This window comes from Homo sapiens, chromosome 3 (genome assembly GCF_000001405.40).
Source record: "Homo sapiens chromosome 3, GRCh38.p14 Primary Assembly".
Lineage (NCBI taxonomy): Eukaryota > Metazoa > Chordata > Mammalia > Primates > Hominidae > Homo > Homo sapiens.
The window spans coordinates 51,759,788-51,772,478 of NC_000003.12; the positions used below are offsets into that span (position 1 = coordinate 51,759,788).

At 37.9% G+C, this 12,691-nt stretch overlaps 1 long non-coding RNA gene across 2 annotated transcripts in view; it reads left to right on the plus strand.

Annotated features, from left to right (window-relative positions):
- The window catches only part of LOC105377087 (uncharacterized), a 51,385-nt gene that overhangs the window by 5,150 nt on the left and 33,544 nt on the right, over positions 1-12,691 (plus strand). The window contains exons 2-3 of one of the 2 annotated variants that reach the window (XR_001740698.1): positions 2,495-2,643; positions 3,162-3,224. This is a non-coding gene — a long non-coding RNA (uncharacterized LOC105377087). Of the gene's footprint in view, positions 1-2,494; positions 2,644-3,161; positions 3,225-12,691 lie in introns of those variants that run through there. The other variant, XR_940838.2, reaches the window with a different exon arrangement.

The following is a 12,691-nucleotide window of genomic DNA, read 5'->3' on the forward strand; positions in this document are numbered from 1 at the left end:
AAACTTATATATCTATTAAGAGGTTTTTTTTCTTTGTTGTTATCTCTAGGTTTGCATAAAATATCTTGTAGTTATAACCATTTATTTTAATTTGATAACAAGTTACCTTCAATTCTACATAAAAACTCTACACTTTTACTTCCTGCACCCACTTTATGTTCTTGTAGTCTGATTTTACTTTTTAAAATATTGTGTATATATTAACAAACTTTATTTTGACTTTCATATGACGGTTAAAATAGTTTATCCTCATAATGTTACATTATTTTGTATTTTTCTATGTATTTGCCAGTGAGATTTATGTTCTTATATGCTTTCACATTGCTGTTTAGCATGCTTTTATTTTTTATTTCAATTTGAGGAACTCCCTTAAGCATTTCCTGTAACACAGAGCTGGTGGTGATTAATTCACTCAGTTTTTTTTCTTTTCTGGAAAGAGTTTATCTTTCCTTCATTAAAGAAATTTTTTTTTAATTTTTATTTTCTTTGTTTATATTTTTTGGGGGGAGGGGGTGGAGTCTCACTTTGTTGCCCAGGCTGGTGTGCAGTGGTGTGATCCCAGCTTATTGCAACCTCCACCTCCCAGGTTCAAGTGATTCTTCTGCCTTAGCCTCCCGAGTAGCTTGGCTTACAGGCATTTAGTAGAGATGGGGTTTCACCATGTTGACCATGCTGGTCTCAAACTCCTGACCTCAAGTGATCCACCCGCCTCGGCCTCTCAAAGTGTTGGGACTACAGGCATGAACCACTGCAACTGGCTTTTTTTCTTCTTTTAGAGACAGGGTCCCACTATGTTGTCCAGGCTGGTATTGAATTCCTGGGCTCAAGTGATCTGCCCACCTTGGCCTCCCAAAGGGCTGGGATTATAGGTATGGACCACTGCGCCTGGCCTCTCTTTCACTTTTAAGGATTAATTTTGCTAGGTATAGTATTCTTGGTTGGCAGGTTTTTTTTTTTTCTTTCAGTACTTTGAGTATCTCATTCTACTCTCTTTCTGGGCTTTTAAGTGTTAACATGGTAAACTGAGACTCAACAAAATTTTAGAGTTTATTTGAGCAAACAGTGGTTCATGACTTGGGCATCTTCAAACCAGAAGTGGTTTGGGAGCTTGACTAAGAAAACAAAAGGAGGCCAGGCACAGTGGCTCATGCCTGTAATCCCATCACTTTGGGAGGCCGAGGCGGGTGGGTCACTAGGTCAGGAGATCGAGACCAGCCTGACTAACACAGTGAAACTCCGTCTCTACTAAAAAATACAAAAAATTATCCAGACGTGGTGGTGGGCACCTGTAGTCCCAACTACTCAGGAGGCTGAGGCAGAAGAATGGCGTGAACCTGGGAGGCAGAGCTTGCAGTGAGCTGAGATCATGCCACTCCACTCCAGCCTGGGTGACACAGCGAGACTCCATCAAAAAAAAAAAAAAAGAAAGAAAGAAAACAAAAGGAGGAGGCTTTTACAGGACAAACACAGAAGTAAAGCAAAGAAAATATTTGATTAGTTACAGTTATACAGTTGCCTTATTTGATCTATCCTACTGGAAGTTTCCTAATTATATATTTGTTGGCTGCTTCTGATTGATTGAACTTAAGTTTTTTTTTTCATATAGTCATGTACAAAAAATAGCTCAAGTTAAATTTTGCTTATGTTTGTAAATCAAGCAAAATTAAGGTCACTTATGAGGCCTAATTCACTTTGTTCTGCTCAGGAATTCTTTGGGCCTTGTCTACACATAATTTGCTTTAACACAAGGTCTGCTGAGAAATATACTGATAGTCTTATGGGGGTTTCCTCACATGTGATACGTTGCTTTTCTCTTGTTGAAAAAAATTCTATCTTTTGTTTCTGACTTGTGAAAATGTAATTATAATGTGCTTTGATATAGACCTCTTTATGTTCAACCTATTGAGGTATTTTGGATTTCTCGAATATGAATATCTATTTTCTTCACCAGATTTGGGAAGTTTTCTGTCATTATTTCTTTAGATTATCTTTCTGCTCTTTTCTCATTCCTTTCTCCTTCTGTGACTCTCATAATGTATTTATTGGTTGTCTTGACAGTGTCTCATATATCCTGTAGGCTTTCTCCACTTTTTTTCAGTCTTTTTTCTTTTTGTTTCTCTGACTGGATAATTTCAAGTGACCTGTCTTCTAGTTTGCTGATTTGTGCTTCTGCTTGATATAGTCTGTTGTTGAAGTTCTCTATTGTATTTTACATTTTATTAATCATAATTATTTAGCTCCAGAATTTGTTTGGTTTTTATGATTTTGATCTCTTTCTTGAACTTATTGTTTTGTTCATGCATTGTTTTCTTGATTTTGTTGAGTTACCTGTGTTCTTTTATAGCTTAGTGAGCTTTAAAAAAAAAAAACAAACAGTCATTTGAATTCTTTGTCAGGCAATTAACAGGTCTCTATTTCTTTTGGGTTTGTTACTGAAAATGTACGTGTTTCACTGGTGGTGAAACATTTTTCCTATTTTTTGTGTTTATTGTAGCCTTGCTTTGGTATCGGCACATTTAAAGAAGTGGTTACCTCTTTCAGAATTAATGGATTGGCTTCAGTTGGGAAAGCTGCGCTCACCTGTTGGTGAGCATGAGGACATCAACTGGATGAAGTATATGGCTGAACCAAGTCTGAGGACAGGTGAGGATGCCAATTCTGAGGACATATGGAATATTGTTTTGAGGGCATCTGGGATTGCTCATTCTGGGGGTGTATGATAGCACCAGTTTCAGATTTACATGGTAGTACCAATTTGGGGGAAGGGGCACGGCAGCACGGAGTCCAGGGGACACATCAGCACTGGATTTTGTGGGCATGAAGTAGCACTGGGTCTGGGATGCCCAGGGATGGTGGCACAATGGTTGATAAAGGAAGGAATAAAGTGGCTTCAGTTCCAGGGGGCATAGATTTGTGGGCTCTGCTCAGTACTGGTTACAGTGCATGGATGGGAGTGCTAGGTCCTGAGTGTGAGTGTATGCAAAGTGGCACCAGGTTCAGGACACAGGTGCACTCATGGTGGCATGGCATGGGCTCTGGATGGCTCTGTCAGCTGGAATCCATGTCTGTAAAGACTGGGGATCCTCAACAGTATGGAGTGTCACTGTGGTCTTCAGTGATGAAAGCTGCTGGGGTTTTCCTTCTCTCCTTTTCCTCCACAGGGCAAAATTGTGGCTAAAGAGTTTCCTCTTGGCTCTGAGCTATGCCAGCCTAGAAGATGGGGGATGGGGTGAAGGTAAAATGGTTTTTCACGTTTCCTCTGTTTTTGTGCTCCGCTGGCTTACTGCATTTTCTTAACTATACTCTAGAGCTCTCACAGAGCTATTTTCATCCCTGGATTGCCAAATTATTGTTTTTATGGGTATTATGGGAGTTCCCCCTAGTTAACCATCTTGCTAATTGTTTTATGGGTATTATGGGCGCTCCCCCTAGTTAACCATCTTGCTAATGTCGCTCCCTTACACTGAATTTTTTTAAAAGACAGGGTTGGCTGGGCGCACTGGCTCACGCCTGTAATCCCAGCACTTTGGGAGGCCAAGGCAGGCAGATCACCTGAGGTCAGGAGTTCGAGACCAGCCTGGCCTATATGGTGAAACCCCGTCTCTACTAAAAATACAAACATTAGCCGGGCATGGTGGCATGTGCCTGTATTCCAGCTACTCAGGAGGCTGAGGCAGAAGAATCGCTTGAACCCAGGAGGTGGAGGTTGCAGTGAACTGAGATCACGTCACTGCACTCCAGCCTGAGCGACAGAGCGAGACTCCATCTCAAAACAAAACAAAACAAAACAAAAAAACAAAAAAAACAGGGTCTTGCCCTCTTGCACAGGCTGGTGTTCAGAGGCATGATCATGGTTCACTGTAGCCTTGACCTCTTGGGCTCAAGTGATCAGCCTCCCAAGTAACTAGGACTCCAGGTGTGTGCCACTACATTTGGCTATTAAAAAAAATAGAGATGGGTTCTTGTTATGTTGCCCAAGCTGATCTTGAACTCTTGGCCTCAAGCAATCCTCCCACCTTGGCCTCCCAAAGTTCTAGGATTACAGGCATGAGTCACTGTGCCTGGCCTGAATTGATTTTAAATATTAAATGGAACTGCCATGCTACATCATTTTACCGTCAACTGGGTTTTACAGGGAACCATGTTTCCCAGAATCCTGTTCCATGTATACTTCTGAGTGACAATCAGTCCAAAGTGAAATTGCATAAGATTCAAGAGGTGAAAGTGAAGCAGCACATATTACTCTTTAAAGGCTGACATTGGTTAGCAATTAAGATTTATGCGCAGGCCGGGCATGGTGGCTCACGTCTGTGATCCCAGCACTTTGGGAGGCCGAGGTGGGAGGATAATGAGGTCAGGAGTTTGAGACCAGCCTGACCAACATGGTGAAACCTCATCTCTACTAAAAACACAAAAATTAGCCGGGCCTGGTGGCACGCACCTGTAATCCCAGCTACTCAGGAGGCTGAGGCAGGAGACTAGCTTGAACCTGGGAGGCAGAGTTTGCAGTGAGCTGAGGTCACACCACTGCACTCCAGCCTGGGCGAGAGAGCGAGACTCGTCTCAAAAAAAAAAAAAAAAAAAAATTCAAGTTCAGACCTGTTGAGGGGATTCCAATTTGTCATTTTCCTACTCTGCATCCAGCTCTCCTTCCTGACAGTCAGTCATGCCGACCAACACTGGCCTTAGGCCCAACACCAGATGCTTTGCTGCAAATCACAAAGGTAGAAATCACAAAAATTAGCTACCTTCCATGGAATTCTGTGTTAGTCTCCACTCCCTCCCCATCAGTTCCCATCCAGCAGCTGGACATGCTTACTTTCTAGAGTTTTCTGTAAGCTCTGACTTATTCACTCTTACCAGTACTGATTAGTGACTTTTCTCTGATCTTCAGCTCTATTTTTTAGATTTTTTTACTTCTTCAATTCCTCCCACAATTGTGTAAGATCTATTTCTTGTATTACATTTTAAAATGGAATATTATTAAGAGCAGTCTTAGATTTACAGAAAAACTGTATAGAAAGCACAAGTTGTCATATACCCTCTCTTCTCTTCCCCACTTGCAGTTTCTTCTATTATTAATACCTTGCTTTAGTGTGGTACATTTGTTACAACTGATGAACCAAAAATAATACATCATTATTAATTAAAGTCCATAGTTAACATTTGGTTTCATGTTTTGTTTTGTACAGCTGTATGGTCTTTGACAAATGCATAATGTCATGTATCCACCATGACCTATATAATACATTTTTTATTGCATAGTACTCATGGTGGTTCTTTTATTTCATGCCTTTGGTGTTATATTTAAAAAGTCATCACCATATACAAGGTCATCTGGCTTTCTTCCTATGTTATCTTCTAGGAGTCTTACAGTTCTGCATTTAGATTTTGGTCTATAACCCATTTTGTTTAATTTATTGCCAAGTATTTTATTCTATTCGATATTTTAAAATTTATTTATACAAATGTATGGGGTACAAGTGTAATTTTGTTACACACAAGTCAGAGATTTAGGTTTTCCATCACCCGAATAACATATATTGTACCCATTAGGTAATCTCTCATATTTGATGCTATTTGATGGAATAAATTTTCTTGATTTTATTTTTGGATGTTCATTGCTGATATATGGAAATACAATTAATTGATTTTTGTATATTGATCTTATATATGCAACCCTGATAAACTTGTTTATTACTTCTAATCATGGTTTTTGAAGATTCTTAAGGATTGCTACACTGGCAAACATGTCATCTATGAGTAAAGATAGTTTTATTTCTTACTTTATAATCTGAGTTTGATGCATTTAATCCTTTCTTCCCTCTTTCCACTCTCTTTGTCCTTCCTTCTCTCCATTATTTCCTCTCTTCCTTCTTTTCTTTCCCTGATTGTACTGGCTAGAATATTTATTATATGTTGAATACAAGCAGCAAAAGCAAACATCCTTGCCTTTTTAGTGATTTTAGGGGAAAATCATGCAGTCTTTCATAATTAAGTATGGTGTCAGCTGTACATTTTTCATATCTGCCCTTTATCAAGTTAATATTCTCTTCTATTCTTAGTTTTCTGAGAAATTTATGAATGGGTATTCGATTTTGTCAAGTGCTGTTTCTTGTTTTGTTTTGTTTGTTTGTTTTTTGAGACAGAGTCTTGCTCTGTCATCCATACTGGAGTGCAGTGGCACCATCTTGGTTCACTGCAACCTCTGCCTCCTGGATTCAAGTGATTCTCTTGCATCAGCCTCCCAAGTAGCTGGGAATACAGGTGCATACCACCATGCCTGGCTAATTTTTGTATTTTTAGTAGAGACGGGGTTTCACCATGTTGTCCAGGCTGGTCTTGAACTCCTAACCTCAGGTGATCTGCCCACCTTGGCCTTCCAAAGTGCTGAAAAACAGCAAAGGGCTGCGCCCAGCCCAAATGCTGTTTTTGTGTCTATTGAGATGATCATAGTTTTTAGCCTTTATTCTATTTCATATCATATTGAATTAATTGATATTTGGATGTTAAACCAACTTTGAATTCCTTGGATAAATTCTACTTGGTCATGGTGTAAAATCCTTTTATATATTGCTGAATTTGTTTTGCTAATATTTTTAAGTCTTTTTGTGTATATATCATGAGGCATATTGTTTGTGGTTTTCTTTTACTGTAATATCTTTGTCTAGATTGTGTATTATTTCTTCTTTAAATGTTTTGTAGAATTCACCAGTGAAGCCATCTAAGCATGGACTTTTCTTTATTGGAAAATTTCAAATTAATAATTAAATCTCCTAACCTGGGCAATAGAGTGAGACCGCATCTGTACAAAAAATATTTTTTAAAAAGCTGGGCATGGTGGCACATGCCTGTAGTCCCAGCCACTCAGAGGCTGATGTGGGAGGATCATTTGATAGAGCCACTGTGCTCTGGCTTGGGCAAAAGAGGGAGACCCTGTCTCAAAGAAATTAATAATAATTAAGTGTCTTTACTTGTTATTAATCTTTTCAGATGTTTTGTTTCTTCTTGAGTGAGTTTTGGTAATTTGTGTCTTTCCAGGAATTTGTCTATGTAACATAAAGTGTCCAATTTGTTGATATTGAGTAAGGTCAGTAATGATGACCCATCTTTTATTTCTGATTTTGGTAATTTGTTCTTTTTTTTTTTCTTGGTAACTGTAGCTAAGGATTTGCTAATTTTGTTGATCTTTTCAAAGAACAAACTTTTGGCTCCCTTGTTTTTCTGTATTACTTTCCTGTTTTCTATTTCATTGACTCTTTATGATTTCCTTCTCTCTGCTTGATCTGGGTTTAGTTTAGTATCCTTTTTCTAATTTCTTAAGGTGAAAACTTAGATTATTTATTTGAGACTTTTCTTCTTTTATGAGTGTTTAGCACTCCTCCTAAACACTGCTTTAGCTGCATCCCATAATTTTTCATCAATTTTGTTTATTTTAAATTCAGTTTTAAAAATTTTTTTTGATACAGGGTCTCACTTTGTTGCCCAGGCTGAAGTGCAGTGGCGTGATCATGGCTCACTGTAGTCTCAACCTCCTGTGCTCAAGCAATCCTCAGACCTCAGCCTCTTGAGTAGCCGGGACCACAGGCATGTGCCGCCATGCCCAGCTAATTTTTTGACTTTTTATATAGGAGAGGTATCACTATGTTGCCTAGGCTGTTCTCAAACTCCTGGGCTCAAGCAATTCTTCTGCCTTGGCCTCCCAAAGTTTTGGGATTACAAATGTGAGCCACCATGCCTGACTAGTTCAAAATATTTTAAAACTTACCTTGTAATTTCTTCTTTGAACCATGGGTCATTTGGAAATCTATTCTTTAATTTCCAAATCTTTGTGCTTTTTCAAGGTTTTTTTTGTTGTATATCTTTAGTTTAATATCTTTTCATTTAACTTTAAATTAAATTAATTAAACAAATATCTTTAATTTAATTCTGCTGTGGTCAGAAAACATATCTGTTTTGGTTTCAATCTTTTAAGATTTATTTAGATCAATTTTGTGGCCCAGCATATGGTCTATCCTGAACACTGTTCCATGTGTATTTGAAAAGACTATGTATTCTGCAGTTGTGGGGTGATTTTCTATAAATGTCAATTAGGTTGACTAGTCCATGGAATTGTTTAAATCTTCTACAATCATGATTTTCTGTCTAGTTGTTCTATCAATTATTGAAAGAGGAGTATTAAAACCTTTGTATTAGTTTGTTCTTGCACTGCTATAAGGAAATACCTGAGACTAGGTCATTTATAAAGAAAAGAGGTTTAATTGGCTCACAGTTCTGCAGGCTGTACAGGAAGCATAGCAGCTTCTGCTTCTGGAGAGGCCTCAGGAAGCTTCCAATCATGATGGAAGGCAAAGTGAGAACAAGGCATCTCACAGAGTGGGAGCAAGAATAAGAGAGTGAGCAACATGGGAGGTATTACACACTTTTAAACAACCAGATTTCATGAGAACTCATTACTATCACAAGAACAGCACCAAGGGGATGATGCTAAACCATTCATGAGAAACTCACTCTCATGATCCCACCAGGCCCCACCTCCAACACTGCGGAATACAATTGAACATGAGATTTGGTGAGGACACAGATCCAAACCACAAACCATATCAACCTCCAACTATTATTGTTGCGTTTTCTTTTTCTTCTTTCTTTCCCTTTCTTTTCTTTTCCTTTCCTTTCTTTTTTCTTTCTTTCTTTCTTTCTTTCTTTCTTTCTTTCTTTCTTTCTTTCTTTCTTTCTACTTTCTTTCTTTCTTTCTGAGGCAGGGTCTGGCTCTGTCACTCAGGCAGGAGTGCAGTGGTATGATCTTGGCTCATTGCAACCTCTGCCTCCCAGGCTCAAACCATCTTCTCACCTCAGCCTCCCAAGTAGCTAGGACTACAGGAACATGCCACTATGCCCAGCTAATTTTTATATATTTTGTAAAGATAGGGTTTTGCCATGTTGCCCAGGCTGACCTCAAACTCCTGAGCTCAAGCGATCCTCCTGCCTTGGCCTCCCAGAGTGCTGGGATTCCAGGCATGAGCTACCTTACCTGGCCTGGGGAATTTTAAGGAGTTAGATGTGGGGCTGGAAGGTATGCAAATATATGCAGGGAGAAACTCTAGATGCACCAGCATTCTCAACTGATTTTGTATTTTTTGTAGACTCAGAGTTTCGCCAGGCTGGTCTTGAACTCCTGAGCTCAAGTTATCTGCCTGCCTCGGTCTCCCAAAGTGCTGGAATTACAGGCGTGAGCCACTGCACCTGGCCTACTGTTGCATTTTCTCCCTCTCCTTTCAGTTCTGCCAGTTTTTGCTTCATGTGTTTTGGGGCCCTTTTGTTATATTTATAATTGTTACATCTTCCTGATGCGTTGATCATTTTATCATTATGAAATATCCCTTTTTGTCTCAAGTATTATTTCATCTCTTAAAGTCTATTTTGTCTGATAAGGCCATTCAGCCCTCTTTTCCCATCCTTTTACATCCAACCTATTGTGTGTAAGATGCGTCACTTGTGGGTTTTTTGTTTTGTTTGTTTGTTTAATCCAGTCCAACAACCTGTGTTCTTTGAATGTGATGTTTAGCCTACTTATATTTAATATAATTATTGATATGGCAGGATTTATGTCTGTCATTTTGCTATTTTCTTTCTGTATTTTGTTCTATTTCTATTTTTGTTGTTGTTTGTTCCTCCATTACTGCCTTCTTTTGTGTTAAATATTTTACGTGTATTATGTTAATTTCTCTGTTGATTTTTTACTATATCTTTGAGGTTTTTTTTAGTTGTTGTTCAAGTGCTTACAATGTGTATCTCAACTTCTCACAATACGTATTTGAGTGATGCTAATTTAATTCTGGGAGTCATACAGTACCTGGCATTTTCAGATTGCTTCTTTTACTTAGCAGCATGTTTTCAAGGTTTTTTCCATGTCTTCTTTGGTGGCTTGATATCTCATTTCTTTTTATCACTGAATAGTAAGAACATCTTGGTTGCTTTCCACTTTTGGCAGCTATTAATAAAGCTGTTATAAAAATTTGAGTGCAGATTTTGTGTGGACACAAGTCCAATTCATTTGGGTAAATACCAAGAGGCACAACTGCTGTATCATATGGCAAAACTTTACTTAGTTTTTTGTTGTTGTTGTTTTTCATTTGTTTTTTAAATCAAACTGACAAACTGTCCTCTGGAGGGGCTATACCATTTTGCATTCCCATTAGCAGTGAATGAGAGTTCCTGTTGCACCATATCCTCATCAGCATTTGGTGTTGTCAGTGTTTGGATTTTGGCCGTTTTAGTAGCTATGCAGTGATATCTTATTATTTATAATTTTGACTTACAATTCCCCAATGGCATATCATGTTCAACAAGTTTTATATGTTTACTTGTCATCTGTATGTCTTCTTTAGTGAACTGTTTGTTTAGATTTTTTTTTGTTCATTTTAAAATTGATTGTTTTCTTATTGTTGATTTGTAATAGTTTTTTTTGTATGTTTTGGACAACAGTCTTCTATCAGATATGTCTTTTGTAAATATTTTCTCCCAGTCTGTGGCTTCTTTTTACTCTCTTAACAGTGCCAAGAAGTTTTTAATTCTACTTTATCATTTTTTAAATTTGTTAATTTTTTCCATCATGGATCATGCTTTTGGTGTTGTATCTAAAAAGTCATTGCTGAGAGCAAGGCCACGTAGATTTTTTTCTATGTTATCTTCCAGGAGTTTTACAGTCTTATACTTTACATTTAGGTCAATGATCTCTTTTGAGTTGATTTTTGTGAAAGGTGTAAGGTCTGTGTCTAGATTCATTTTTTTTTGGCATGTGGATCTGCAGTGTTCCAGCACCATTTGTTGAAAAGACTATCATTTCTCCATTGAATAGCATTTGCCCCTTTCTCTATGACCAGTTGACTGTATTTTTGTGTTTTTTATGGGTCTATTTTGGGGCTTTCATTTTTGTTCCATTAATTTATTTGTCTATTCTTTCACCAGGACCACACTGTCTTGATTACTGTAGCTTTATAGTAACTCTTGAGGTTGAGTAGTGTTAGTTCGTTCTTTCTTCTTCATCTTCTCCTTCTTCTTCTCTTCTTCTTCTCCTCCTCCTCCTCCTCCTTCTCCTTATCCTTCTCCTTCTCCTTCCTCTTCTCCTTCTTCTCCTTCCTCTTCTCCTTCTTCTCCTTCTTCCTCTTCTTCTTCTGTATTACGTTGGTTATTCTGGGTCTTTTGCCTTTTCATGTAAACTTTAGAATCAGTTTGTTGCTATCCACAAAATAACATCCGTGATTTTGATCAGGATTGTGGTAAATCTCTAGATTGAATTGGAAATAACTGAAATCTTAACAATATTGAAGTTTCTATCCATGAATATGTAATATCTCTCTACCTAGATATTCTTTGATTTCTTTTACCAGGGTTCTGTAGTGTTCCTCATATAGATCTTGCATATATTTTGCTAGATTCATACCTAAATCTACCTTTCTTTCTCTGTTTTTTGGGAGTTGTCCTCATGTAAATGGTATATGTATTTTTATTTAAAAACTTATCCATCTTGGATAACTGAAACTATATCCATTGAGGGATTGTGTTTTAAATTTCAAATTGCAATTGTTCATTGCTGTATACAGGAAAACAATTTTTGCATGTTAACCTGTATCCTGCAACTTGATGTACCAATTTATTAGTTCTAGAAAAACTTCATTTTTTTATTTTAATTGTCTGTAATTCTACTTCAATTCTATATTCTATCTCTTGGCTAAAATAGTAATCTAATGAATTTCTACAAACTCAATCACTTCTGTTTGTTTCTCAGTCATTTAGGGGCTTCTTGCCCTCCCCTGTTTCTCCCTAGGTTGGCATGCACATATTAGGTGTTAGTGCACTGTTGTGGCAGATCTGTAAGGTGCCTAGTTGGTAGCTCCTTCACTATATTGGCATTGGCTGCTGAGATCTGCACATTCACATGTGTAGCTAAGTCCCAACCTTTGGAGACTGGAGGGGGTGAGTCCTGGGCCCTCTCTGCTGAGGCCACCATGTTGCCAATTCTACACTGTTGCTGCCACCACTTGCTGGCTGAGTTTGGTGGACGGGTACTGTGATCTTGCTTTCTTTTCTGGGCCCCACCCAGGAAAAGAACACTGGTATCCTTGCTCTCAGGTTCTCCAAATTGTATGGAGATTGTTAGCCACCTTCAACGGTTATTGTGGGGGAATGGATCTGGACAAAGGCCACTTTCTCAGGGACACATGGCAAGCTAAGCTCTCTAGTTTCCCGTCCAACTTGCTCTATATTTAGTATTTTTAGTATAAGTTTAGGCCTAGATTCCTTGAAATTTTTGAAACTCTAAATCCTGTTTTTTCCTCAAAAAGCATGGTTCTTGCCAATCAAAAGATTTTTGCCTCTGCCATTAGTTTTAAGAGTCTATTCCAAGATTTTGAGTCTATTTTAGAAAGTCAGAAGCCAGTATTTGATTTTAATTCCTTGGATTGCTAGTATAAAGTTTCTTTTCTTTACATTTTGCTAGTAATTTTTAAAAATGGGAATGAGTGTTTAATTATAATCATGATTTTTCTTCTTTAAAATAGTTACAGTGATGGATTTTTCACTGTTGAGCCATCAGTATTTTCCTGGAGAAACCCCTATATATATAGAAAGAATTTTGATTGCAATTTGCTTATAGTTTATTTAGAGTTTTTACATCTACATTTATTATTAA